The 24,323-nt window shown below is 38.3% G+C and overlaps 1 protein-coding gene across 9 annotated transcripts in view, besides 3 other annotated features; it reads right to left on the reverse strand.

Annotated features, from left to right (window-relative positions):
• DST (dystonin) overlaps positions 1 to 24,323 on the reverse strand; it is a 496,835-nt gene that overhangs the window by 282,144 nt on the left and 190,368 nt on the right. The gene's annotated exons all lie outside the window — the stretch shown is intronic.
• Positions 11,747 to 12,330: an enhancer, noted in NCBI's record as "NANOG hESC enhancer chr6:56616684-56617267 (GRCh37/hg19 assembly coordinates)". NCBI's record gives its function as "activates a minimal SCP1, AML or CMV promoter by ChIP-STARR-seq in naive H9 embryonic stem cells {active_cell/tissue: H9 hESC(naive)}" and the evidence as "EXISTENCE:reporter gene assay evidence [ECO:0000049][PMID:30033119]".
• Positions 17,608 to 17,657: a silencer, noted in NCBI's record as "silent region_17296". NCBI's record gives its function as "represses an Ori minimal core promoter by ATAC-STARR-seq in GM12878 lymphoblastoid cells {active_cell/tissue: GM12878}" and the evidence as "EXISTENCE:reporter gene assay evidence [ECO:0000049][PMID:35858748]".
• Positions 19,339 to 19,895: an enhancer, noted in NCBI's record as "NANOG hESC enhancer chr6:56624276-56624832 (GRCh37/hg19 assembly coordinates)". NCBI's record gives its function as "activates a minimal SCP1, AML or CMV promoter by ChIP-STARR-seq in naive H9 embryonic stem cells {active_cell/tissue: H9 hESC(naive)}" and the evidence as "EXISTENCE:reporter gene assay evidence [ECO:0000049][PMID:30033119]".

Here is a 24,323-nt window from a genome sequence, read left to right on the forward strand (position 1 = left end):
GGCCAGGCGTGAGCCACCGCACCTGGCCTACTTTCTTAATAAACTTGCTTTCACTTTATTCTGTGGACTCACCCTGAATTCTCTCTGGCAAGAGATCCAAGAACCCTCTCTTGGGGTTTGAATCTGGACCCCTGTCCTGTAACACTGAGACCACCAGGCTGCAGAGAAAGCACTAGTCTTGGTTTCTGAAGCTCATGACCTGGAGAGGACACCTGACAGAAAGGCAGTGTGGTAAGCACACCAGTTGAGAGAAGTACATGGCACTCACCATGTATGCAAGCACAAAAGAGAGAAGGACCAACCTCATCCAGGGCAGTCAGGTGGGGCTTAAAGGACAGGAAGTAGGGTAGCAAAACAGAAGCCAGCCATGTGTCAATTTCTCCACTAAAAAGAATCTCTGACTTAATCATTTAACATTGAAAGAGCCTTGGTTAGGACCCAACTCTTATGTTTCCCTACAAGGTTGCTTCCACTATCCCCAAGATACTGTCATTTTTCAAATGGAAGTGCTGACCACATCTCAGTCACAGACAGGGAGCTGGGGAATCTGGCTCTGTGATGTGATGTGAACTTTGGACAACTGATTGCAAACAATGGAAGTTCTGTGCCAAAGTCTAGCACTCATATCACATTTTCAGCAGTGATGTTCTAAGCATCCAGCAAAAAGAAAACAGAGTAAATGAAAAAAATTACTTCCTAGGTAATATCCATATTATTCCCATTAAATAACAACCAAGGCCCCTGATGCTAAATCCTCAAGAAAAAAAAATTAATAATATATTAAAAATCTTTATAATTCAAGAATAGAGTTTCCATATAAGTCACAAAATAAATTTAATCTATTATGTGTATTATATAAACTATTTTCTTCTTGGGTAAAAAAGGGTTAACAAAATAGATTTCTTCTTTTCTAAGTGAATAAAAACTGGTCCTATAGTTCAAGGAACATGAGGTAAAACAGATTCTATAGATAAATTGGCTAATTACTTACCAAAGCAGTATATTAAGAAAGCTGATTTAATCAAATAATTTACCTCTAAGTACAGAGGTACTTACTATACAAAGGTTCTTTTGATCAATGAGGTTTTGTTGTTGTTGTTGTGCTAGATGCTCAAAAGCACTGCTAATAACATGATATTTCGTAGGTACTACTGAGGTAATATCTAGGAATTATGATCCGTAACTAAAGTACATAAGATACAAAGACTAAATAACACACATAATTCATAAATTCTGATACTGTTTTCTAACAGGAACAACCTAAACCTCTTCTTTTAAACCATGATCAACTTAAATGAGTCCCATTCAAATACCAAAATATGCTCTTTAACATGAGAAGGCTTCCACAATGCTACAGGAATGAGAAAAGAGTTAATGTGAATTCTAAAGGCTTCAACTTTCTTCAAGAGAGCAACCTAGAGTCAGAGAATAATTTAAGTCTGGGAAGACTTTGTAAATCACACCACTTTCCATACACATTATTTCAAAAGGGAGTTATTTCAAAAGGGAGTATTCCAGATTACACCATCTAATTTTCCAATTACAAGTCTCATAATGGTTCTTTATTTCATTTCAGTTAGAGATGTCTAACACTGAGATTTATATTTAGAGCAATGTTGCTACAGCAACAAAAAGGGAAACTCATTCCTGTGATTTTAAACAATTGAACTTTTATAACATTCCTCTATTTGAAAATTATTTCATTTATAGATTAAGTTTTCAATAAAAATATATATTTATATCCCCCTTATAAAGTGTAACAGCTGAAAATATGTAACGACAATGAAGACAAAGAATAACAGAATTGGGGGGGAACAAATAAATGCAAAAAGAGTACTGATTATTACAATCTATATTGACTGGTTTTCAGTGAAATCCAAACAAAGCTAAACTCACTCAGTACCACACACGCAGTAAGTATTGAGATTATATAAATACATATTCTGTGGACAACAATAGGCAGGGGAGTTCTCTCCAGGGAGCCTCAGAAGTTGTCCTGATTTCAGTACAGGTTTTCGAAAGATGCCCGACAATCAGCTGAACTATCGCCATGCAAACCAAAGCAGGTAGTGCAACTTTCCCTTCCCAGTTCTGAAAACATGAAAGTGATAGTATATGTGATACTACTAACCCATACAGCACATCAGTCCCACCAGCTTTGCGTTCCAATCTTGATCATTTTTCATGAGCTGCCCCATCATTCTGCAGGAAATCTGTGCAGCAGTTCCCTAAACTCTCTCCGTACAAACTCTGATGTGTCAGAGTCCTGTTAACTTTCTATGTAGAAAAGAAAACACTGACTAGACACTCCTACTTGCAAGCTGAAAACTAGTCAACACCTCCTTTTAAACAAATATTAACAAAGCCAGACTCCTCTACTATTTTTGTAGGGGATATATACAACTGTTACTAAAAAGAAACCAAATTGTCTATTTCTTCTTTTCATTTTAAAGTTGTTCTTAAGAAGTCCTTTAAAAAAAGTTTTAATTCCCTTTTTTTGTTTTGCAATGAGGCGAACCAATAGGATGTTAGATTTCACAGCTGAACTAACTCATCACATTCTCTCTTCTAACACCCCAGGCAGAATTTCCCTGCAATAAAAATAAAAAAAATCCAGCCTAACTTGTTTAACTTATCCCTGATATGTGTGCTAGTAACATGATTTGGAAGGATCACCTTTATAGGCTAGACATACATCCTTCTGGGAGAAAACCACTTTTGGGTATTTCTTTATGTATGCCTTATGGATACATTTTCATTTGGATTTCACAATAATTCTGAGTTGGGTAGTACTGTCCTCAGTTTAAAGCTGTGAAAATTAAAGTTGTAGAGATTAACAATCTAGCCTAAAATTCCACAGCCAAAGTGGGATCTTAAGAAGTCTGATTCTAAACGTTTATGTCATCAAACAATAGAACCCCTAATCTAATAATGCAGGAAAAGCAAGGTGCCTCAAATTTAGGAGCACTTCACTTCTAAGTATGAATAAATGAATAATGAAAAGTCAAGACATAAGAACCCTTGTTCTAAACAAGCAAAAGACAAACTATCTTTGGCATTCTTATGCTTGTCTGAAACGTTAGACCAATAGACCTTCCTGAATAGAAACTGTATACATAGTTAATTCCAAAAAACAAACAAACAAAAATGATCACTACTTACTTCAGCAATAGAAAACCACCATTCAATCACACCACAATACTGCTGGATTAACAGTTGCCAAAATGCTTTAAAACATCTTTATATGATTTTCTAACCCTATTCTAAATATACTGTAAATGAATAAATTGTACCAGATCCTGCTGAGAAGTTCAAAGTATCTGCTTAGTAAATAGCCCTTCTCTTCCTATCTCTCCTTTTCCAATTATCTTTAGAGCCCTTGCCTCCGCTACACGAAAGCCTAAGCCTGTCTATTTCACTGAAACCAGGATAATAATAATAGCAAACACTTAGAGAGCACTTATTATTTGCCAGATGTTGTTCTCAATTACACACACACATATATAACACACACACACACTGCACATTATACTCATAACAATCAGTGAGATAACTTTCATTTACAGATGAAGAAACTGAGGCACTTAGAGGTTAAACAACTTGCCCAGGATCACAAAGCTACCAAGAGCAGAGAGTGCAGTTTGTAAAAGCCTACTCAACTTTATAATTTCATACTTAGGAAATAAAATTCTAACTTTTAAAAAATGAGTTAAAAATAAAAAGTAAAGCTTGGGCTGTGCATGATGGCTCACGCCTGTAATCCCAGTACTTTGGGAGGCTGAGGCAGGTGGATCACCTGAGGTCAGGAGTTCGAGACCACCTGCATGGTGAAACCCCATCTCTACTAAAAATACAAAAAATTAGCAGGGCATGGTGACAGGCACCTGTAATCCCAGCTACTCAGGAGACTGAGGCAAGAGAATTGCTTGAGCCCAGAAGGCGGAGTTTGCAGCGAGCCGAGATCACAGCACTGCACTCCAGCCTGGGCGACAAGAGTGAAACTCTGTCTCAAAAAAAAAAAAAAAAAAGTAAAGCTTGGCCCGATTGTTAATGGTGGGAATCCACAGAAGATGGAATTTACCTTCTGAGCTTAATGACTCTAAAGAGTGGAGGGAGGGGAGCTGCAATGCTTCACTAAGAAGTTACATCAGAATTTAAGGCAGGGATGAGATTTCTGAGTTTAAGGATCAGATGTGAATTTTAAAAGATGGAGAAAAACTTTGAAAAAGGCTGTATCTCAAAAAAAAAAAAGGTAAACATTAAGTGTTAGAGTTGTGTAGAAATAATATGGAGGGAGAAGAAAGGACGCTAGTCAGTTTCCCCATTACTGCCTGGAAATAGCTCTGTGGTACAACACAGTAAAAATATTGCAAGTAAACAGCTGTAAGATTGTTGGTATTATAGACGAAAGAAGGAAGGAATAGTTGGGATCGTTGAAAAGATCAGTTCCTGAAAAAGATGGACAATGGATGGTTGGTGAACAGGGAGCTGGGTGAAAACAAATCAAAGAGGCTGCACATCACCACCCTGCAGAATCCCATCTCAAACCACCTGTGAGCTATCAGCTCACACCCAATCATCAGCTGACAGCACTGCCTCACTCTAGTAACACCTCACTTGCCTACCTGATTTGACCTTCAACCACAGAAATCTCAGCCAACATTACTTGGTGACTGGAGGTTGTAGCTGCCACGTAGTTGAAATGGGTAATAGGAAAAAGTCCCCACTCTCATTTTAATTGAAAAATCTTTTCAAATGTTCATTCCCACAGGAACATCATTATGGTTTATTTCTATTAGTATAGACGTACAACTGATGTTCATGTTCTAGTCAATCCAACTTTCATCCACTCATCTGTGACTTATCTCTGTGGAAGGACAGACTTAGAGGAAGCTACTTAATAACTCTGAGCCTTAGCCACAGTCCACTCCCCAGCCACTCGCCCCTCCACCCTACTTTTGTTAAAAGGAAGGTCCTTACCAGGAAAGTTATCAGATAAAATTATTCATCATTAAGAAAAAGTTTCCAAAATACTTTAGGACTCCATAGGTGAAAGTATACAAATGCTGTTATTTCCACGTAATTTCTTAGCTTAGTCACTACTGCAAAGTCCCACATACATAAAGCCTACAGTTGGTCTCACAGTAATAAATATTGTCTGCCTCTGTTGTGGCAACAAAAGACTCTCATGTTGCTGCATGTACAAAGAAATATTGTAAGGTGTTAAGAAAAGCTTTCTTCTTGCACATTTCAAGAGAAGTGTGGAAATAACAAGTCCAACACACAGCTACAGTAAAATCTTTGGATTTATACTACCTGGTAGTACACGAAGAAATTATACAATATTAGAAATAAGACAATTCTTAAAACAAATGGAACCATTTAAAAATATAGAAAATAATGGTTTTAAAATAGTTGGGTGGGAAGAATATTTCAAAACAAGTCATGAACCAAAAAAAACTAAACAAAACTATCAAATTTGACAAACCACTGATATAACAGCAGACACTGTAGACAAAGTTTAAAAACTCACTAGAAGAAAACATCTGCTATATATGTAAAATATACATCAATAATATCCAAATAGAGTAATAACTCCTATTAATTAGTAAGAAGGACAGCTCTTCCTAAATTACAAATGATGTGAGCATACAATTCATAGAAGAAATGCAAATGGCCAACAAAAATATGGGGTAATACTAAAGCATCTTTCTAATCAGGAAATGCAGATAAAATTATTTCATATTGGCACAAATTTGTAAGAATGATAATGCTGAATGCAGAGAAATAGGTAGTCCCAAGCTACCGTAATGTGGGTGTGTAAAATGGCAGAGACTTTTTTATTTTTTATTTTTTTTAACAGACAGGGTTTCACTCCATCATTCAGGCTAGAGTACAGTGGCATGATCATAGCTCACTGCAAACTCAACCTCCTGGGCTCAAGCAATCCACTCAACTCAGCCTCCTGAGTAGCTGGGTCTATATAGGCACACCCCACCACCCCCAGCTAATTTTTAAAATTTTTTGTAGAGATAGGATCTCCCTTTTTTTGTCCAGACCGGTCTCCAACTCCTGGCCTCAAGCAATCTTTTAGCCTTGGCTTCCCAAAGTGCTGGAATTAGAGGTATGAGCCACCTCACTCGGCCACAAAGACTCTTTTGAGAGCAATTTAGTAGTGTCCACTGTAACTTAAAATCCATATACTTTCTGAACCAATAACTCTACCTGTAAGAAACAAATACTTGCTTATATATGATTAGCATACTAAGATGTTTACCATAGCAAAATATTTGAAACAATTTAAATATCAGTCACCAGGAGACTAAATGAATGAATTATAGTTCACCTTTCACCTATCCTATAAAATTTTAATAAAGGAAAATCTGCACATAGTAACACAAAAGAGGTTTACAAGATCAGTGAAAAAAAATGGAAAATAATATATATAAAAGGTGTATATCATGAGGAAGAGCAGTTTCATCAGTAGAAGAGAGTGGAAGCTATAAGGAGAGAGGTTGGTAGATGGTGTCTTTCCTATCTCATTCTACATATTTCCAGATTGAGTGCCTGATTATTTTACAAAGAGGGTGTATTTGTTTATTACTATTAATAATAACTGTGAGGGAAAAATGTGTTTCAGGTATTTTATTCATTTATGTATTACATATTCCGGTGGACTCTATGGAAGATATAGAAAAAAATACTGAGACACATGCCAGAGTACCCCATTCTGGTCTGAAGGCAGAGTTAAGCACTCCAGGCGTGACTGGACTTGCTCTTAGGCTGATGGCTGCAGGAGGGAAGGCAAAGGGGAGAAGACAGGGGAGGGGTGAGAGTTGGCGAGCAGAGGTGAAGGTGCAACTGGTGATACCTTTTTCAGAGAATGGCTGCCCAGTCTGAGATACAAAACAGTGAAGGCACAGGAGGTCTCTGAAAGGAGAATCAGTTACTGAGAATATAGTCAGAAATTATACTGCGTGAAGAGTCTCCTTGTTCAAAGTTTAATTGCCACAGAACAAAACAAATGGTTTTGTCAGCATTTGTCATGAATCCAGACACAGGACAAGAGTAGAATGGTAGAATGTGCTAGGTAAGCTGAGATGTAAACTACAAATGCCATAAATCTCTCCATACAAATGCTTTTTTGTGTATCTCCTCCTCTACCACTATCTGCTCTCCCAGTCATCAGATCTCCTGCCTTCCTGTAAGTGCAGTTGCTGAGCAGCTGAGGTTCAATCTTATTGTTGGCTGGGATCTAGGGGATCAGGTTCTGCTCTGACAAGGAATTTACTGGTATCTGTTCTCACAATTGGCTAAGAATTGAATATAAAACTCCTAGAATCTACCTTCTCCTACCTGAGCATCCTAAAAACATATAAAGAGATTCCTAATTATAGTTATACTGCTATAACATTTAAGTATTATATATAATCTAACTTCTGCTGATCTGAGTCACTGTTTAAGGACAGAAAGCTTCTGCAACTCTTAATCTGTAACATGCTAACCTTAAGAAATTAGACTTTTTTAAAAGGTTTTCACTATCAGCCTTTCTTTCTAGATTCAGAGCTCTAGATAAGAATATACCCCAAAGCACAGAGATATGTAACTCGATGAAAATAAATTCAATAAGCATCATTTCTACATTATTTATATGTAAGGTAAATCCATTATATTATGAAGACCTTAAGTAATTTGGTGTTTTAAAGTATTCAGTTTTGAAAACTTTTATAATCACTACATATATGTAAGGACATAAACAGAACAGTTTTCACTTTAAAAATCAAATTCATACAAGATACCTTCAAAATTTATTAAAGCAGGACCTCCAGTAACTCAGATAAAAATAAAATCAACAAATTATAAGGAATAAATACAGTTTTTCAAGTTTCTTTGAAATTTTATGACTTGTTGGTTTCTGAAAGAATCCTATTTCTTCTTACCTTTATGCTATTTTCTGTCCCAGCCAATAGCCTACCTGGACAACATATACCAACATAAGTTCATTAAATAAGTAGGTGCCTTTAGACTTCAAAATATAAAAGAATATATATTCCTATATATGGTTTCATATATGGTTATGGTTGTATATGGTTGTATACCCTGTATATGGCTTCACTAGATTGTATTTGGTAGGCTTTGGTAGGCAGCTATGGTAAGGACAAAAAACAAGATTTAGGAATCAGTAGGAGGCAAGGAATCTACATAAACCTAGGTTCAAATATTAGCATCAAAACTGGCTAGCAATTTCAGCTTGGGAAAATGATTTAACTTCTGTGCAACTCAAGTTTTCTCATCTATAAAACAGAATCATAGGTATTACTAGACACCTATTCACACAGTATTCTTATAAGCACTAAATACGATAATAGAGTATAATTAAGATTATGTAGTAGGCTCTCAAGAAATACACTGGCTTCCTAGACACTTCAATTAAATCAGCAAATTCTTATCCAGAACATGCAATAAACGTCAAAATCACAACACTATACACTACAGAATTTCACATCATCTCACAACAATCTTACTACTGTCTTTATGGATCATCATCCTCTTCTTATTGATTTTTTAAAAATAAATTTCAAAGAACATAACCTAGCCCAAGATTTCTGTAAGCAAGGAAACAGCAGAGCTGGAATTTGGCCCGGATATTCTAATACCTTTTCCACTGTACAAAATTAAGAGGTAAGGGTGAATCAAACCCATACAGTCTCCAACATCAAGGAACTAGGACAGGACATAAGATAAACAGATGTGATTTCTTACTATATCAATTCCAGAAAAAGAAAAACCAAAATAAAATGTCCTTGGCTGTTTAGGATCAAGCCGTTCACTAAATAAACTGCATAAAAGTCCCCTATATTGTAAATTAGAAAAAGGTACAGAGAAATTTTCATTCTTCTCAAGGTGATGGTATAAATCAATACAAGGTCAAAAATAAGAGCTTGGGCCGGGCGCAGTGGCTCAGGCCTGTAATCCCAGCATTTTGGGCGGGCAGATCACCTCAGGTCAGGAGTTTAAGGCTGGCCAACATGGTGAAACCTCGTCTCTACTAAAAATACAAAAAATTGGCCAGGCGTGGTGGTGTGCACCTGCAGTCCCAGGTACTCAGGAGGCTGAGGCAGGAGAATCGCTTTAACCCGGGAGGCAGAGGTTGCAGTGAGACGAGATTGGGCCACTGCACTCCAGCCTGGGTGACAGAGTATGACTGTGTCTCAAAAAAATAAAAAATAAGAGCTTGGGAGCTCTTGCCTTTCTCTGATACTGTAGGTTACTACACAGTGGAATGCTCTAATTCCGTTTACCCTGAACATAATCAGTTTTTCTTGATAAGTATGGACTGGTACCATGAATACGGCCTAAGGAATAAAATCAGATATACCTTAATACACGGCCTAATATTCATATAAGAAGTTCCATTTTTCATGAAAAAAAGTGATCTAGAATTCTTAGTAACTACTTTCATATCACTGTGGTCTCTTTAATTTGACCAGGGAGTTTAAGAGTATTTTTTCAGGTTGTGAGGCCACATTTTTTAAGGCAATGGAAATTACAGGTATGATTCACATGTGTAATGCTTTTCATTCCTATAATAGAACAGGGCCAGTCACAGAGTGAGTCATCAGCAGGAATAAATGGGTGGAGAACACCAAAGACAACTGCTCTGAACCACTGGAAAAAATTTTCATTCTGGGTTTGTTCATAATCACATGGCCTCCCACTTAAAGTTGCTTATTTAACTGTAGTTTACAGCTGGTATGGACAACTGCTTTAGTTACAGGATCACCATGCATGCCCCAGTGGGCTTTAGGAACCACACTCAACACAACCACACTAACCCAACACCATCCCAGAAGGGCTCTGCCGCTACCACCACCATCGCTGCACCCCTCTCCCTGCAGCCACACCCAGGAGTACAGATGAGCAAAAGGAAAGGCACACATTAAATGTTAAGTGTGTGGGGTGCCCGCAGACTTCTCTCTGAGGCTTAATTCCTCTTGGTAAAAAGATCTTCAAACCTGTTTTAGCTAAGGACTCATTCTCCCAGTCAATACCCAAAACACAACATGTAAAACAGACAGAGATAAAGTAGCTCTGACTGGAGTCAGAGGAGAAGAGTTTACCCACTAGAGAATATCACCTTGGGTTGATCATCTCCATACCTCAACTTTCTGTATCGTTCCAATTTTAGTATATGTGCTGCCAAAGCAAGCACCATACCTTAACTTTATAGTGAACTCTTGCCTTGTCCACTTGCTTGTCCTGAAAACCAAAGGCAAACTTTGAAGAACTGGACACCTTTCTGAGATCTCCTTACAGACATTTTAAAAATAATATACGCTTCTTTATTGCCTACTATGAGAAGAGTGGTCTCAAACTTTCAAATTCCACAGTCCCTCCTATCTATCTTCATGAGAAAGTAACATAGTCACCTTCTAGTCCCTAAGACAAAAAAAAGAAAATATGCAAAAGAAAAGAAGAGGAAATGCATTTTTCTTTGTTTCCACACTTTTATTAAGAAGTAGATAAATTATCTAACAAAAATCAGGGCTAGTAAAGAAGAAAGAATGAATGATGTGCCAATAGCAACAGACACATACTGAGGAAGTTTTCCTAATAGCTAATTCTGTGTGGTAAAAACAATCACCCTGAGATAGCACTGATGGGAGACTCCACTGGTATAACCTTTCCAGAATTTGGCAATACTGAGCAAAAGCTTTAAAAGTGTTCATAATGTTTTGTGTTCTATAAGCCAATGTCTCATATTTATATAGCACTGACTATATGCCAGGCCCTGTCCCAAGCATTTACATTTTTCACAACAGCAGATGGTTATTGTTCCTCTGTTACAGATTTTAAAAAGAGGCATTCAGAAGTTAAGTAATTTGTTCAAGGCCCCAGAATCCATGCTCTTAACCCCCAATGCTTCAGGTTCTGGAATCTAAAAAAAAATCCAAACTTCAGATGAAGATCAAAACAAGAAAATATTTATTTTAACATTAAATGCAAGTCATGCCTGTTAATAGTCAATATTTTTTAGCTATTATTATTAGCTACTAGTAGAAAAACATCCTAAACATCCAAGAATAGAAAAATTATCAAGTCAGTTATCATAGAGCCACAAAAAAAGATTACGCATTGATTAAATAGACGTCACCAATAGGGAAAAAATGCTTGGAAGTGCCTAAGAAAAAAGATTATAAGGGGATATGCCAATATAACATTAGTAATTAAATGTAGGTGGTAAGATAATCAGTAATTTTTATTTTCATCTTTTTTCTTCCAATTTTTCTTCAAAGAATATCTATTTTTTAACAATTATTTTTTTACAGCAGGCATTCTTGTGATATTTTGGTTTTGAGAATCTCTCAATTTGTACAATACTTTTTAAAATGTGTGACACTACTGCTGGTGTCAGCTTGAACATACAGGGTTAAAGCTGCAATCCCAGGTTCAGGCAGCCATTTAAAATGCTATGGAATTTTTCCCAAGAGATAATAAGCCACTGGGTTCCCTCAGAGAATAGAGAACCACCATGTGGCCCATTACCTACAGACCAAGTGAGCATTTAGCAGCTTCTGTATAACTACGAAATTAAACTTAGAAACTAAAATTTTTTTCCATAATGAAGTAATTTCAAGACTCCTAAAGCCACAGGTATGACTCAGGGATCTGCTCCAGGCCAAAATCATTCCAAAATAAAAGAGAAGAGAGGAGGGTAGAATAGGGATATTATAGAATTTTAAACTTCAGGCATCACCTGACACCTGACTAGAAAAGCTCAAAGCAAATTACTAAAAATGTAGAAACTCAGTCTACACTTTTTGCATACAAATCTCTATAAGTTAATAATGGCTTGAATCACAACTCTTATGAAGCTTAGATTTCCATGCTTCTAAAGCTTGTATCAAGCACACAAGTGGGTCTCCAGTATTTCCAAACTATTCTTTTTTTTTTTTAATGGGCCAGGCTTTTTAACAAGGTAGCATTCCATTCAGTCAACAAGCATCTCTTGAAAACCCACTAAGCACCAGGCAAGTGCTAAGCACTGGCAATACAAAAAGGCATCATGAGTCATCCTGTCTTAGTCCAATGGGAGACAGACTAGGAAGCCAGAATTTGCAAAACTGCATGGTAAGTGCTATGACAGAACTATGCAAAAAGAGCTTGGCTTGATTTTATGCTTTTTTTTTTTAAATCAAGGTACAACTAACATAAAATAAGTAAATTTTAAGTGTTCTGTTCAAAAAGTTTTGAGAATTGTTTGCATCCTGTAACCCGCACCCAAAACAAGATAAAGAACATTTTCATCCCCCAACAAAGTTATCTTGTGCCTCTTTGCCATTAATACCCACCCCCACTCCCACAGGCAACCTGATTTCTGACACTGTAGATTGATTAGCTCTGGTTGTTCTATGTTTCACATAAATATATGCATGCAGTCATTTGAATCTAGCTTCTTTCACTCAGCATAATACATTTGGGACTCATCCACACTATTACATGTACCAGTGATTTGTTCCTTGTGATTATGGAGAGGCATTTGACTGTATGGACTTACCAGTTTGTTTATTCAATCACCTACTAAGGCTGTTTGGACACTTTCCAATACAATAGCAGTTTGTATTACTATAAACAAGATTGAGTTTTTTTGTTTTTTTTGTTTTTTTTGAGACGGAGTTTTGCTCTTGTTGCCCAGGCTGAAGGGCAATGGCACGATCTCAGCTCACCGCAACCTCTGCCTCCCGGGTTCAAGCAATTCTCCTGCCTCAGCCTCCTGAGTAGCTGGGATTACAGACATGCACCACCACACCTGGCTAATTTTGTATTTTTAGTAGAGACGGGGTTTCTCCATGTTGGTCAGGCTGGTCTCGAACTCCTGACCTCAGGTGGTCCACCCGCCTCGGCCTCCCAAAGTGCTGGGATTACAGGTGTGAGCCACCACAAGACTGAGTTTATCTATCTGTTTCATCTCTTTGATTTGTATTTGTGTGGTTTTACGTAGGAGGCAGTGATATGGCGAGTATAAGGTAGAAGAAGGCATAACTGTGAGAGTGGATATGGTATGCAATGCATACAGAAGAGTCATGAATGGCTACACTAGAATAAAACACCTACAAAGATATGCCATGCTAAAAAGCTGGGAGTCTATCAGGAAGGCAACAGAAAACAGTGAACAGAACATTCAAATGGCTGCATATAAGCATTTTCCTCTCAGTTTAGAGAGCACCAACTTCAAAGGCAGAAATACCAGACCTCAAATCCCCACTCTGCTACTAACTCTATTGGCTAAAGCAACAGTCTTATTAAAGACTCCCTAAGATTTATTTGCATCATCTGTAAAATAGGGATAAATAGCACCCATTTCAAACACTTGCATAGAAGCTAAAAAGAAATAATGAATGTTATGCACCTAAGAGAATGCTTAACATAAAACTGTAGTTCTTCTTAGTGCTATTTGATAGACTTAAATGCATTGATCTCAAATATTTCCTGCAATCTAGTAATGGCAACATCAGAGGCATCCTTCTGGCTTCTGCTAATCTCTATCTACTTTAGTAACCACAGAATTATCAAATGGGACTCCAAGAAACCTATTGTTTTAAATTAAGTTAACCAAAGTTCTCTGGAGAAAATGTTTAGGAAAAAAATGAAATGAGTAAGCACAAGTTAACAAAATGAGGTTTGGAAGTGGCAACAGGACATGTATCATGGAGGCATATTCATTAACTAGACACTTGTTCATAGTTATGTCTACCCTTAAAACACAACTGATTGTCCAGTTAGAGTAACAGCATAACAGCATAGCCAGTGAAATGTCCATGGTTCCAAAATGCAGCCTAGAACAAAGAACACAGTAATGCTTCTTAAAATGGAGCTTTTTGTTTACATGAGCCATTTTGGAAATTCACTTCATACCACTGATAATGAAATTTTCAATTACAAAAGAAATGACTTTCGGTTTCTTTTAGCAATAGGAATAAGAAAGAAACTGAAGAATATATAGTGATAGATGCCATTCCAAGTGATCTCTGGTAAGAGTAAAGTAACTTATTTATAAAGTACAACTTCTAAAAGGAAATCAATTAATTCAACAAAAGAAATACGTAACTTATTTGTAGATGCTAACCTTTTAAAAAGTGTAAACAAAATAAGTAACATTCATAATAAAGGCAGATTTCTGTCTGAATTTATACAATTTTTCTATGAAATTTTATTTCTGCGATGGGGTCTGTGTGACTGATTCTTTCTAAGTTCTATGTTCTTAATTGAGAGATCCAGACTTCATTTAATCTACTTTAGCATGTCATCTATCACAGGTCCTTGAGAGTAAATGTGCTCAATTGCTTCTAAATACAGACCATTCTCATTATCACTAGTTTCTCCCACATGGCAACCTCATAAATATTTATTAGCAAAATATAGACAAAATCTGCTGAATTACAGAAACTGAAGATATAGCCCCTGAAAAGATCCAAGAGCTATGTAAACACAGCCACTAAAATAAAAATGTTACATATATTAGAGCTGGATTCAAACAAATCAACTCTTAAAAAAAATTAAAAAATTAAATCTTTGACCCATGAATATTTTAGTGTGGTAAAATAAATGACTTCATGGTTCCAAGATAAATTTGTAAAACCTAAAAATATTTTCTAACAGTCAAAACTAGATATGGATAAAGTATTTAAATTAAACATATGTTCTTTAGTTCATAAGTCCTGAATAATTTCAGTTAGTATAAGTTATTCAGAAGTTAGGTACTCTTCAGAATCAGAAAGGAATGAGATAAACAACAGGATTATAAAGAAAATATAATTGGATTATCCCTTCTATTTCACTAGCTTATAGTAATACCAAGTAATGTCTATTTTTTTCAGCTCCGAAGTACATTCCAGGACTATAAAAAATACCAGAAAATGTATGAAATGTATAAAACATATATAAAGTATATATTCCTTGCCATCAAGTCATTTCAAATCTAATGAAGAAAATAAAAAAAAAAAAAACAAGACATTAGACACTAAATAGGAAACCGGTTGACTACATGCAGAATAGGGACTGAGAGAAGAGTTACCAGTGTAACCCTGAGTACTTGTAACAGACCTGTGGGCACGCAGGAGGAGTTGTACAGGAGTTGCACAGTTGTGGGTAGCTAGAAGCTCAGAGACTGACTTTGATTATGTAAAATTTAAGAAGACAATTGTAGGTAGCAGTAGCAGAAATACACAAATGGAAATGAGCATAATGTGAGACAAGGAAACTAGTATTAATAAAATCACACTGCATTGGCAGAATACTTTCATGTAATTACCCCACTTTACATTCACATATACTCTGTAAGTAAGGCAGATACTTACATTTAAAGATGAAGAAACTGAGGTACTACTCAATGAGAGCAGCTTATCCTTATCACTGATCTCGTAATCAAGGCTTGATCACAGGTCTTCAGATTACCAAATCCCCTATTCTTGCTAAACACTACTAGCTCAGAGACTGACTTTGATGATGTAAAGTTTAAGAAGACAAAAATTTTGGTAGACTTTAAGGCAAGTATTATAAAATAATATTTTGAAATTTATTCCCATTTTCTCTTTTGCCTTTTGGCATGAAGTGTTTATCAGCCTAAAAAAGAGATTATAGAAATTCTATAAAAAGACAGGAATAACCATTTCTGGTTTATAAAATAGGATTATTCAGCAAGACACATAGCCTTGCTAGCCATACTATTGCCTGGAAAGATGTTTCCAAATTGCTTTTATTTCTGTCTCCCTTCCCTGCCTCCTTTTAATCAGGGGCCTGATCTAGCTCTTCTCCAGGGTAGAAAAGACACGCCACTTCCAGCGATGACAGCAGAGCCATAGGGCTAGCTAAAAGGAGGATATGATATAGTATATGTAGGAGAAAGACGACGGAGTCAAGAGGGGAGTCAAGACTAATTTTTCCTGTTCAGGCTTTGGCCCTGAGAGGAGGAGGTGCATTCAGTGAATAAGGAGTGATGTGGAAGGCACAGGGGGCTCTTGACCCACTCCCTATCTGGTACCGTGTAAAGGAGGCTACCCTTGGTTCTGCTTGGTACAGACCAGACACAGAAGTGTCTGTGTGTCTGGCTGGGACACCTCCCAGAGGGGTCATCCTAGCAGGGAGAGGGGGCTCTCTAGCAAGGGATACAGAGAAGATCACATGGGCCAGGAACAATCAAGCATCCCAGAAAGACTGCAGATGGGTGTGGAGCACTAGTGGAAAGCCAAGGGGAAGTCACATCAATGTGGGACACGGCCTGAGTCACAAGAATGGGCCAGAGTTCACTGGTAGCTGACTTAAGAATCAGTGGCCCACAAGGTGCCAGGCATCCAAGACAGAAAAGGGGTACAAATCACCCAGGAAGCAGGGGTCCTAAAAGCCAGGATAAAGACGCTGGCAGGAATGAGCACAGTGTTTTCCCCAGAAATGCAAGGTTGCAAAAGCCACATCTCTCCCTCAAGACACGCAGAGAAAAAGAGAGGGAGAGGAAGCTGCCTTCAACAACCAAGCATTTTTATCTAAGACAGAACAAAGATCAGAGGAGACTGTTCGATTTGCCACATCAGACTATGCTTTAAAACAGATTCAATTTTAGTACATTTTCTCACTAATCAGAAGGTGAAACTCATAAAGATGACTAGATCAGCCATAAAAGACAATATTTTCTCTGCATTTCCAAGTTCAATCATGAATTAAATCTTTCAAGCCTAGTACACAGGGCAGAAAAGTTGGTTTTATACAGAGAACAACAAAGAGTCATGGTCTTTTTTCAAGAGAAGTATTAATAAGACAAAAGCTCTCAGCAACTGTATGTGATACTGGATGAATCAATGCCTTGCAGCAAGCTCAGTCTCATTCCAGAAAGGGCTAAAATACTCATTCAGACTATTTTCATTTTAAAGCAAAGGAACAGAGATGGTTCCAGGAAGAAAAAAAAATACACTTTTAGAAAAGCAGGACTTCAAACAATGCAACTTTAAACAACTGAGAAACAGTGACAGATGGCCCTATTATGTATACACTAGAAATGGGATTTATTTTTTTCAGGAAAGGCTTTGAGAGTTGAGGCTAAAACACTGACAGTCTGTACATGGCATGTCATCTGCCAGTAAACATCAGATGTCCCTACAAACCCAAGTGTTTATAATAATGGGGAAAGAATGGCTGAAGTTTTATGTGAACACAAACGTAAATCACAACATTCTGAAATGCACAGTTTCTAACCATTCTGTTTATGGTGCAATATACAGTGTGGCCCAAGTTCTGGCAAACCACATAGCTCTTTTCAAATTGACAGTATAAGGAATATGATGTGAGCTGTGGACTCACAGCTGTGAGCTGTGCTACATTTCCTAGTAAAAGAAACCCTGATTCTGATGGGGACACATGGTAGCCTGGAATAAAACTACACCTCCCCAGCCTTACTTTCAATAACAAAGTTCCAGTAAATGAAATAAAAGCTAATGTGTTATATGGCAGCTTCTAGAAATTTTCTTTGTAAGACATCTGGCATGAGCCCCTTGCCCCTTCTTCCTTCCCTCCTCCTTTCTACTGGCTGGGGACACAGACCCGATGAATATGGCTCAAGCAGCCATCTAGGACCACAAAGCAGCAGCCTAAGTCTGCAGGAACAAGAAGTAAGGAGCCTCTGTGGATGGTGGCTATAACCATGCCAGTCCTGGACTGCCTCCTGCTGGACTTCTCTCAAGTAAGAGAAAAGTAAACTTCCTTCTCTTAAAGTTACTATTGTTTCATTTTCATGTGCAAAATAGAACCAATATTAGCCAACCTAATCCTACCCACAAATACAATGCTTTCCAACAAACCTACTACTAAGAGCTCTTTGAAATGGAAAATTTCCCAGGAAAGAAACAACTACCATTAATACAGCACAAAGTAAAGAACTTGGTATAATCAAGCGCGTACAACTGTAGCAGAAACTTTTCCCCATATCCTTGTATCCTTCTTTCTCAAAGAAACAAATTCTCTAATTATTAGCTAGGTGCAAATACACAAGGAATAAATACACATTTCCCAGCCTTCCTTGAGCTAGATGTGGCTATGTTCCAGTTCAGCTGTGGCCATTGAGATGAGAACAGAAGTGACTGTGCTACTTCTGAGGAGGGCCCTTGAAGGGGAATACAGTGCCTTTTTTTGTACTTCTTCAATCCAGATGGCTGGAATGCAGATGTGGTGGTGAAACATCTAAAAAAACATGTAAGAGTAACAACCTAGATGGCAAAGCAATGTGACAAAAGGAACCTGGGTCCCTGTTCCAGTTACTATGTGACAAACTACACTGGAATTCAACTATGAAAACCAACCATTTTTTTATGTTCAAGAATTCTGTAGGTCAGAAATTCAAACCAGGTACAAGGGGGGCAGGTTGCTGCTGTTCCATGATGTCTGGGCCTCAGCTAGTAACACTCAACAGCTGGGTGGCTTGACCACTGGGGACTGGAATCATCTGGAGGCATCCTCACTCACATGGCTGGTGGCTGATGTTAACTATTGGCTGGAACCTCATTTGAAGCAGTCAGCGAGAACAGCCACAGGTGTCATCTACATGTGGCCTGACTTTCTCACTGAATGGCAGCTTCAAGGTAGTCAAACTACTTTGTGGTAATTCAAGGTTCTAAAAGCAACGGACCCAGCAGCAAGGCAGAGGCTGCATCACCTTTCCTGACATAACCATGAAAGTCATGTGGTATTCTACTGGTTACAAGAGAGCCAGGTGCCCAACCAGATTCAACCAGAGTGCACAATGGGAAAAGCAGCAAAGAAGTTGCACACATGTTTTAAAACCCATACAGCGCCTGACCCTGAGCATCATACCAGCCCTGGCTGACCTCATGAAGCTGAGCTGCATTATCATCCTGCACTCCCCACCTCTCGACTGCTACATAAGTGGAAATACAAATGATCATTTAAAGCCACTATTATTGTGGGTCACTGCAGCAAATTTATAAAGAATACTTATGTACCCCAATATTTAAAAATAAATCAGCCCAGGCGCAGTGGCTCACGCCTGTAATCCCAGCACTCTGGGAGGCCGAAGTGGGCGGATCACTTGAGGTCAGGAGTTGGAGAGCCTGGCCAACATGGTGAAACCCTGTCTCTATTAAAAAGACAAAAAAAATTAGCCAGGCATGGTGGCACATGCCTGTAGTCCCAGCTACTCAGGAGGCTGAGGAAGGAGAATTGCTTTAATCGGGGAGGCAGAGGTTGCAGTGAGCCATGATTGCACCACTGCACTCCAGCCTGGGTGACAGAGTGAGAGACTCCATCCCAATAAATAAATAAATAAATCAAAAACCACAAGTAGCAAAAACGTCTATCTCAAGAAACTAATTTTACAGCTACAGGAATGACTTTGTAGTTTTAATTTATTTGATATTATTAACTGCTGGCATATTTTTTTCCATTCAAAATTTTTAATGACTATCAGAGACCTCTAATATATTACAATCCCTTTGTCAGTCATTTGCATGCTGCCAGTTTCCCTTCCTGGTTTGGTGCACTAAGGGGTTTCTGAGCTCAGACAATAAAGATGCTGACACAGCCAAGGAACTGCAGCCTGAAAACAAAGAGTTCCAGAGGCGCGTGTGAATCTGACTGGATGTGTCCTAAAGCCTCTCATTAAACAGCTACTCCCCATCAAAGACACTACACTCTAGGCAAGGCAAAGAGCACTCCTTCCACCTGCCATTCTTGTCCTCTAAGCAAAGTGAGTCCTTGAAGAATCTAATAGTTTCACAGAATCATTTTGTGGTCCAACCATAGAGTATGCACTGCATATGTCAAAATCCTTTTATTTTTTAAATTAACAAATAATAGGATTTCTATCTCCTTATACCCACTCAAAAAATAAAAGCATATAAAGGATATTTTGGTTCTTCCATGTCCCCCAAAAGCAAAAAAGAAAATAACTTTGAGAGAACACAAATTTAAAAGAAAATTGCACAAGTCTGAACATTTCTAAATATATTCAAAGACACATATCTAACTTTGAAATATGTACCTAGAGGCAAATAATTTAATAGCAAATCCATAGAATGAACTGCTAAGAAATGCCACATGATTAAGCCATGTTTTGGGGTAATATGGGTAAGGACATTAAACAACTTTGAGAATGAATTATTAAAATACACCTTTTAATGTATCTTATTTAAAACTTATTTAAAATTAGTTTCCAGCATCTCTTAATACTACTTTATTTTTTGTATGTCTCTCCATGTGTATCAGCCACTAAACCCCAGTAAGACCCACTGTGTAATGATGCTTAATCTTCTTCCTTTTTAAACTCTAATGTGTATCAGCTTTCAGATATTTATGAGCTCAGATCTTTTGGCCAGAATTTGGTTAAGTAAAAAGCAAGCTGATCAGGCCATAGATAAAGGCATTTGGTGCCAGGGTAATTATAAATACAAGCAAGTATTATATTTGCCCCCAGCTCTTGCCCATAAGGTGGCTGAAAATGCATCCTTGATTTTCCCTTATTCTGTCAATATAGGAATTACTACCTTGAATACTACTAAACATATCTTTAAGTAATAAAAGGTAGCATTTGCTGAGCACTTATTATATGCCAGGAATTGTTTTGAGTACTTTTCATGTATTAAAGTCATCAGATCCTTCAATAACAACATAAAGTGGATAGTATAATTAAATCTCCCTTTTATGGATGAGACTGAGATTAAACAAAAAAAAGTGTAGTGAAACTGCACAGACAACTCATGTGGTGGTTTTAAAACATGTCCATACATGGAAACTTCTCCCTTCAAGAGCTAATTCCAATCACTGTGCATGTAGGGACACTAATTAATGGAATATAACTAAAGTAACTGTGTTAGAGTTCTGAGACTAGGTCATAAAAAGCAATGTGGTTTCTTTCTTGATTTCTACATCACTTACCCTGGGGGAAGCCAGTTGCCATGTCTTGAAGACACTTAAACAGCACTGTGGAGAGGCCCACGTGGCAAGGGAGGCCCTCCTGCCCTCTGCCAGTGAGTGAGCCATCTTGGAAGCAGATCTTCCAGCCCCAGTCAAGCCTTCAGAGGACAGCAGCCCTGGGCAACATCTGAACTTTAACCTTACTCTCACTTAAGCCACTCCCAAATTCGTGGCCCACAGAGTTATTAAACGCTTACTGATTTAGCTGCCAAGTGGGGGGCAAATTGTTATACGGCTAGAAATAACTAACCCAGCTAACAAGTGACTGAGCCAGGATCAAACCCAAGCAGTCCAGTACTGAAAGCTGCTACTGGTCAGATAAATGCACACCATGTTATGTTGGTGCAAAAGTAATTGTGGTTTTTATCATTGATAATAGGAATTTAACCAAGCTATAATTTTACTAAACACCACAAATGTTTTCAAATTCCAACTACACAAGTTAAACAGCATAGTAGAGTGGTTCTCAGCCCTTCTCAACATTAAAATCATTTGTACAACTTTTTACAGATGCCCGGGTTTCATCCTCAAAGAGTGAACAGGCCTAGGGTTGGGTCCTAGCATCTTAACCCCAGGTTAGGAACCTATTAAAAAAAAAAAATAAGCTTGACTTCTCACAACTGTGCTCAAATTTCCTTCTGACAACTAAGATAAAGATTATTCGGTTCTACTCACTTGATACTTCAAGTCAAAAAAGAAGAACTTACATCACAATCACTTTTTACCAAATAATTATATATAGAAACTTGATTTATGAATCTGAATACAGCTTTTGCTTTCACTACACATTAGTGGTTATTTAGTGCACCTTATAGCTGAGTATCCAAAACCCCAAAAGCAATTTCTATTAGTTAACCAATCTTCTGCCTCATCATGGCACAGATGTCAACTTTAAACAAGACTCCAGAAATGTTTTTTTTTTGAGACAGAGTTTTGCTCTTGTTGTCTAGACTGGAGTGCAATGGTGAAATCTCAACTTAATGCAACCTCCACCTCCCGGGCTCAAGCAATTCTCCTGTTTCAGCCTCCTGAGTAGCTGGGATTACAGGTATGCGCCACCACGCCCGGCTAATTTTTTGTATTTTTAGTAGAAACAGGGTTTCTCCATGTTGGTCAGGCTGGTCTCGAACTCCGGACCTCAGGTGATCCACCCGCCTTGGCCTCCCAAAGTGCTGGCGTGCCCGACAAGACTCTAGAAATTTTAAAACAGTTTCACATAACTTGAAAGTGAGAAGGGGCTTTAGAAATCATCTCAGAATGGCCTACTTGCCTTCGCCCAGGCCCAACAAAAATTTACAAAGCAGAAGTGGGCTTCAAAAGCAGCTCCTCCAGAGTCCAGCCCCAGTGTTGCTATCTGGAAATTGGGAATGGCTGCCCGCACTCACAATTCGTACTGCATCCCTTGATATTATCTGTGCACTTCTGCCTCCCTTTCTTAACTATATACTTCTTTAAAGACAAGAATGCTATCATAACTCTTTTGTAGTCCCCTTCTTTCACTATCACAGTTTCACTTAAGAGTCACCCAATAACTGTTTGCTTAACAGAACAATGTAAAATACCTGCGCAACTACTTTCCCTTCATCTCTTTACCTCTACACATATTTTTGGATTTTGAAATGTGAGATATTTTTGCTTGATTAGTTTATTGCTCTCATTCAATAAGAACTTATTTTAACAATCACTTTGTACTATACCATAGGTAAAACAAATTTACGAGAACACCACCTTTTTTTTTTTTTTTTTTTTTTTGAGACAGAGTTTCACTCTTGTTGCCCAGGCTGGAGTGCAACGGCGTGATCTCAGCTCACTGCAACATGTGCCTCCCCGGTTCAAGCGATTCTCCTACCTCAGCTTCCCGAGTAGCTGGGATTAAAGCCATGTGCCACCACACCCAGCTAATTTTGTATTTTTACTAGAGATGGGGTTTCGACATGTTGGCCAGGCTGGTCTCGAACTCCTGACCTCAGGTGATCTGCCCATCTCGGCCTCCCAAAGTGCTGGGATTACAGGCGTGAGCCACAGCACCCAGCCGAGAACATTACCTTTATAGAAAGCATTTTCTCCTTGTTTACCTCAGGGATTTGCCATACATGACCATGTGTTCTAGTTTTCTCCTTACATATTTCAGGCAGGTCCACATAAGCATTAATTCATGCCTTCTCTTCCTGATCACTTACCTAATAAGTCAAAGCGCTGCTTCTTTATGCCTGGATCAAGTCCAACATGTCCTAGCTTTTCACTATGATTAATTAATTTAAAAATATAGGGATGGGCCAGGCATGGTGGCTCACGCCTGTAATGCCAGTCCTTTGGGATGCTGAGGCAGAAGGATCACCTGAGGTCAGGAGTTCGAAACCAGCCTGGCCAACATGGTGAAACCACGTCTCTACTAAACGTACAAAAATTAGCCAGGCATGGTGGCACGCACCTGTAGTCCCAGCTACTCAGGAGGCTGAGGAACAAGAATCACTTGAACCTGGGAGGTGGAGGTTGCAGTGAGCTGAGATCACACCACTGCGCTCCAGCCGACAGAACGAGACTCCTCTTAAAAAAAAAAAATACCTATACACACACACACACACACACACACACACACACACACACACATATAGGGATGGGTGGGGGTGGGGGGGAGAAAACCAAAGGATGTGCCTAGCAAATTACCATTTGTCTTGAGGAATGCTGGTCCAATCCCACAAGGAACTCTAGTCCTACATCACTTCCAGTTTTCACTTTGAAAATGTACTTAGACTAAGTACACAATGACCTAAGGTTTGAAAATATTTCTGTTCTCCAGTTTGGAGAGCTCCCTCTAATGAAACTACATACTATAAATATACAGATTAATATGCAATAGTCTAACCTATCAGTAGTGATAGTCCAATAATTAAGTATAGTATTAAGTCTGCAGTCAAAATTCATCTACCTGTTCCTGAGCACCCTTCCTCACAGTCAAAACCTTTTCCCAAAGTGCACATGCACACACACACACACACACACACACACACACACAGCCTCAGATGCCTCTGGAAGAGACATCAACCCTGGTCTGACCACTTCTGCCTAGACAAGGGCCTCTGTGAACCTCTCTTCCCAGTTTTTCTATGCTCCCCAGTGGCTGAACTGAAAAATGCAAGTCACCAACAAGCAAAGCAACAAGCACAATCTCCAAAACGTTTTCTCTTCAAACCACTGTAAGGGCAAATACCATATACTATTCTGCTTGGCTTGTAGCCTTTTCTTTCACTTTCTTTGGTCACTTTCAATATTCTGCAATTTCTGGAGCCCCACGACATGCTGCTTGATTTTCTACACTCCCTTTGCACTAGTAGCCTGGGATCCCC

Source organism: Homo sapiens, chromosome 6 (assembly GCF_000001405.40).
Source record: "Homo sapiens chromosome 6, GRCh38.p14 Primary Assembly".
Classification (NCBI taxonomy): Eukaryota; Metazoa; Chordata; class Mammalia; order Primates; family Hominidae; genus Homo; species Homo sapiens.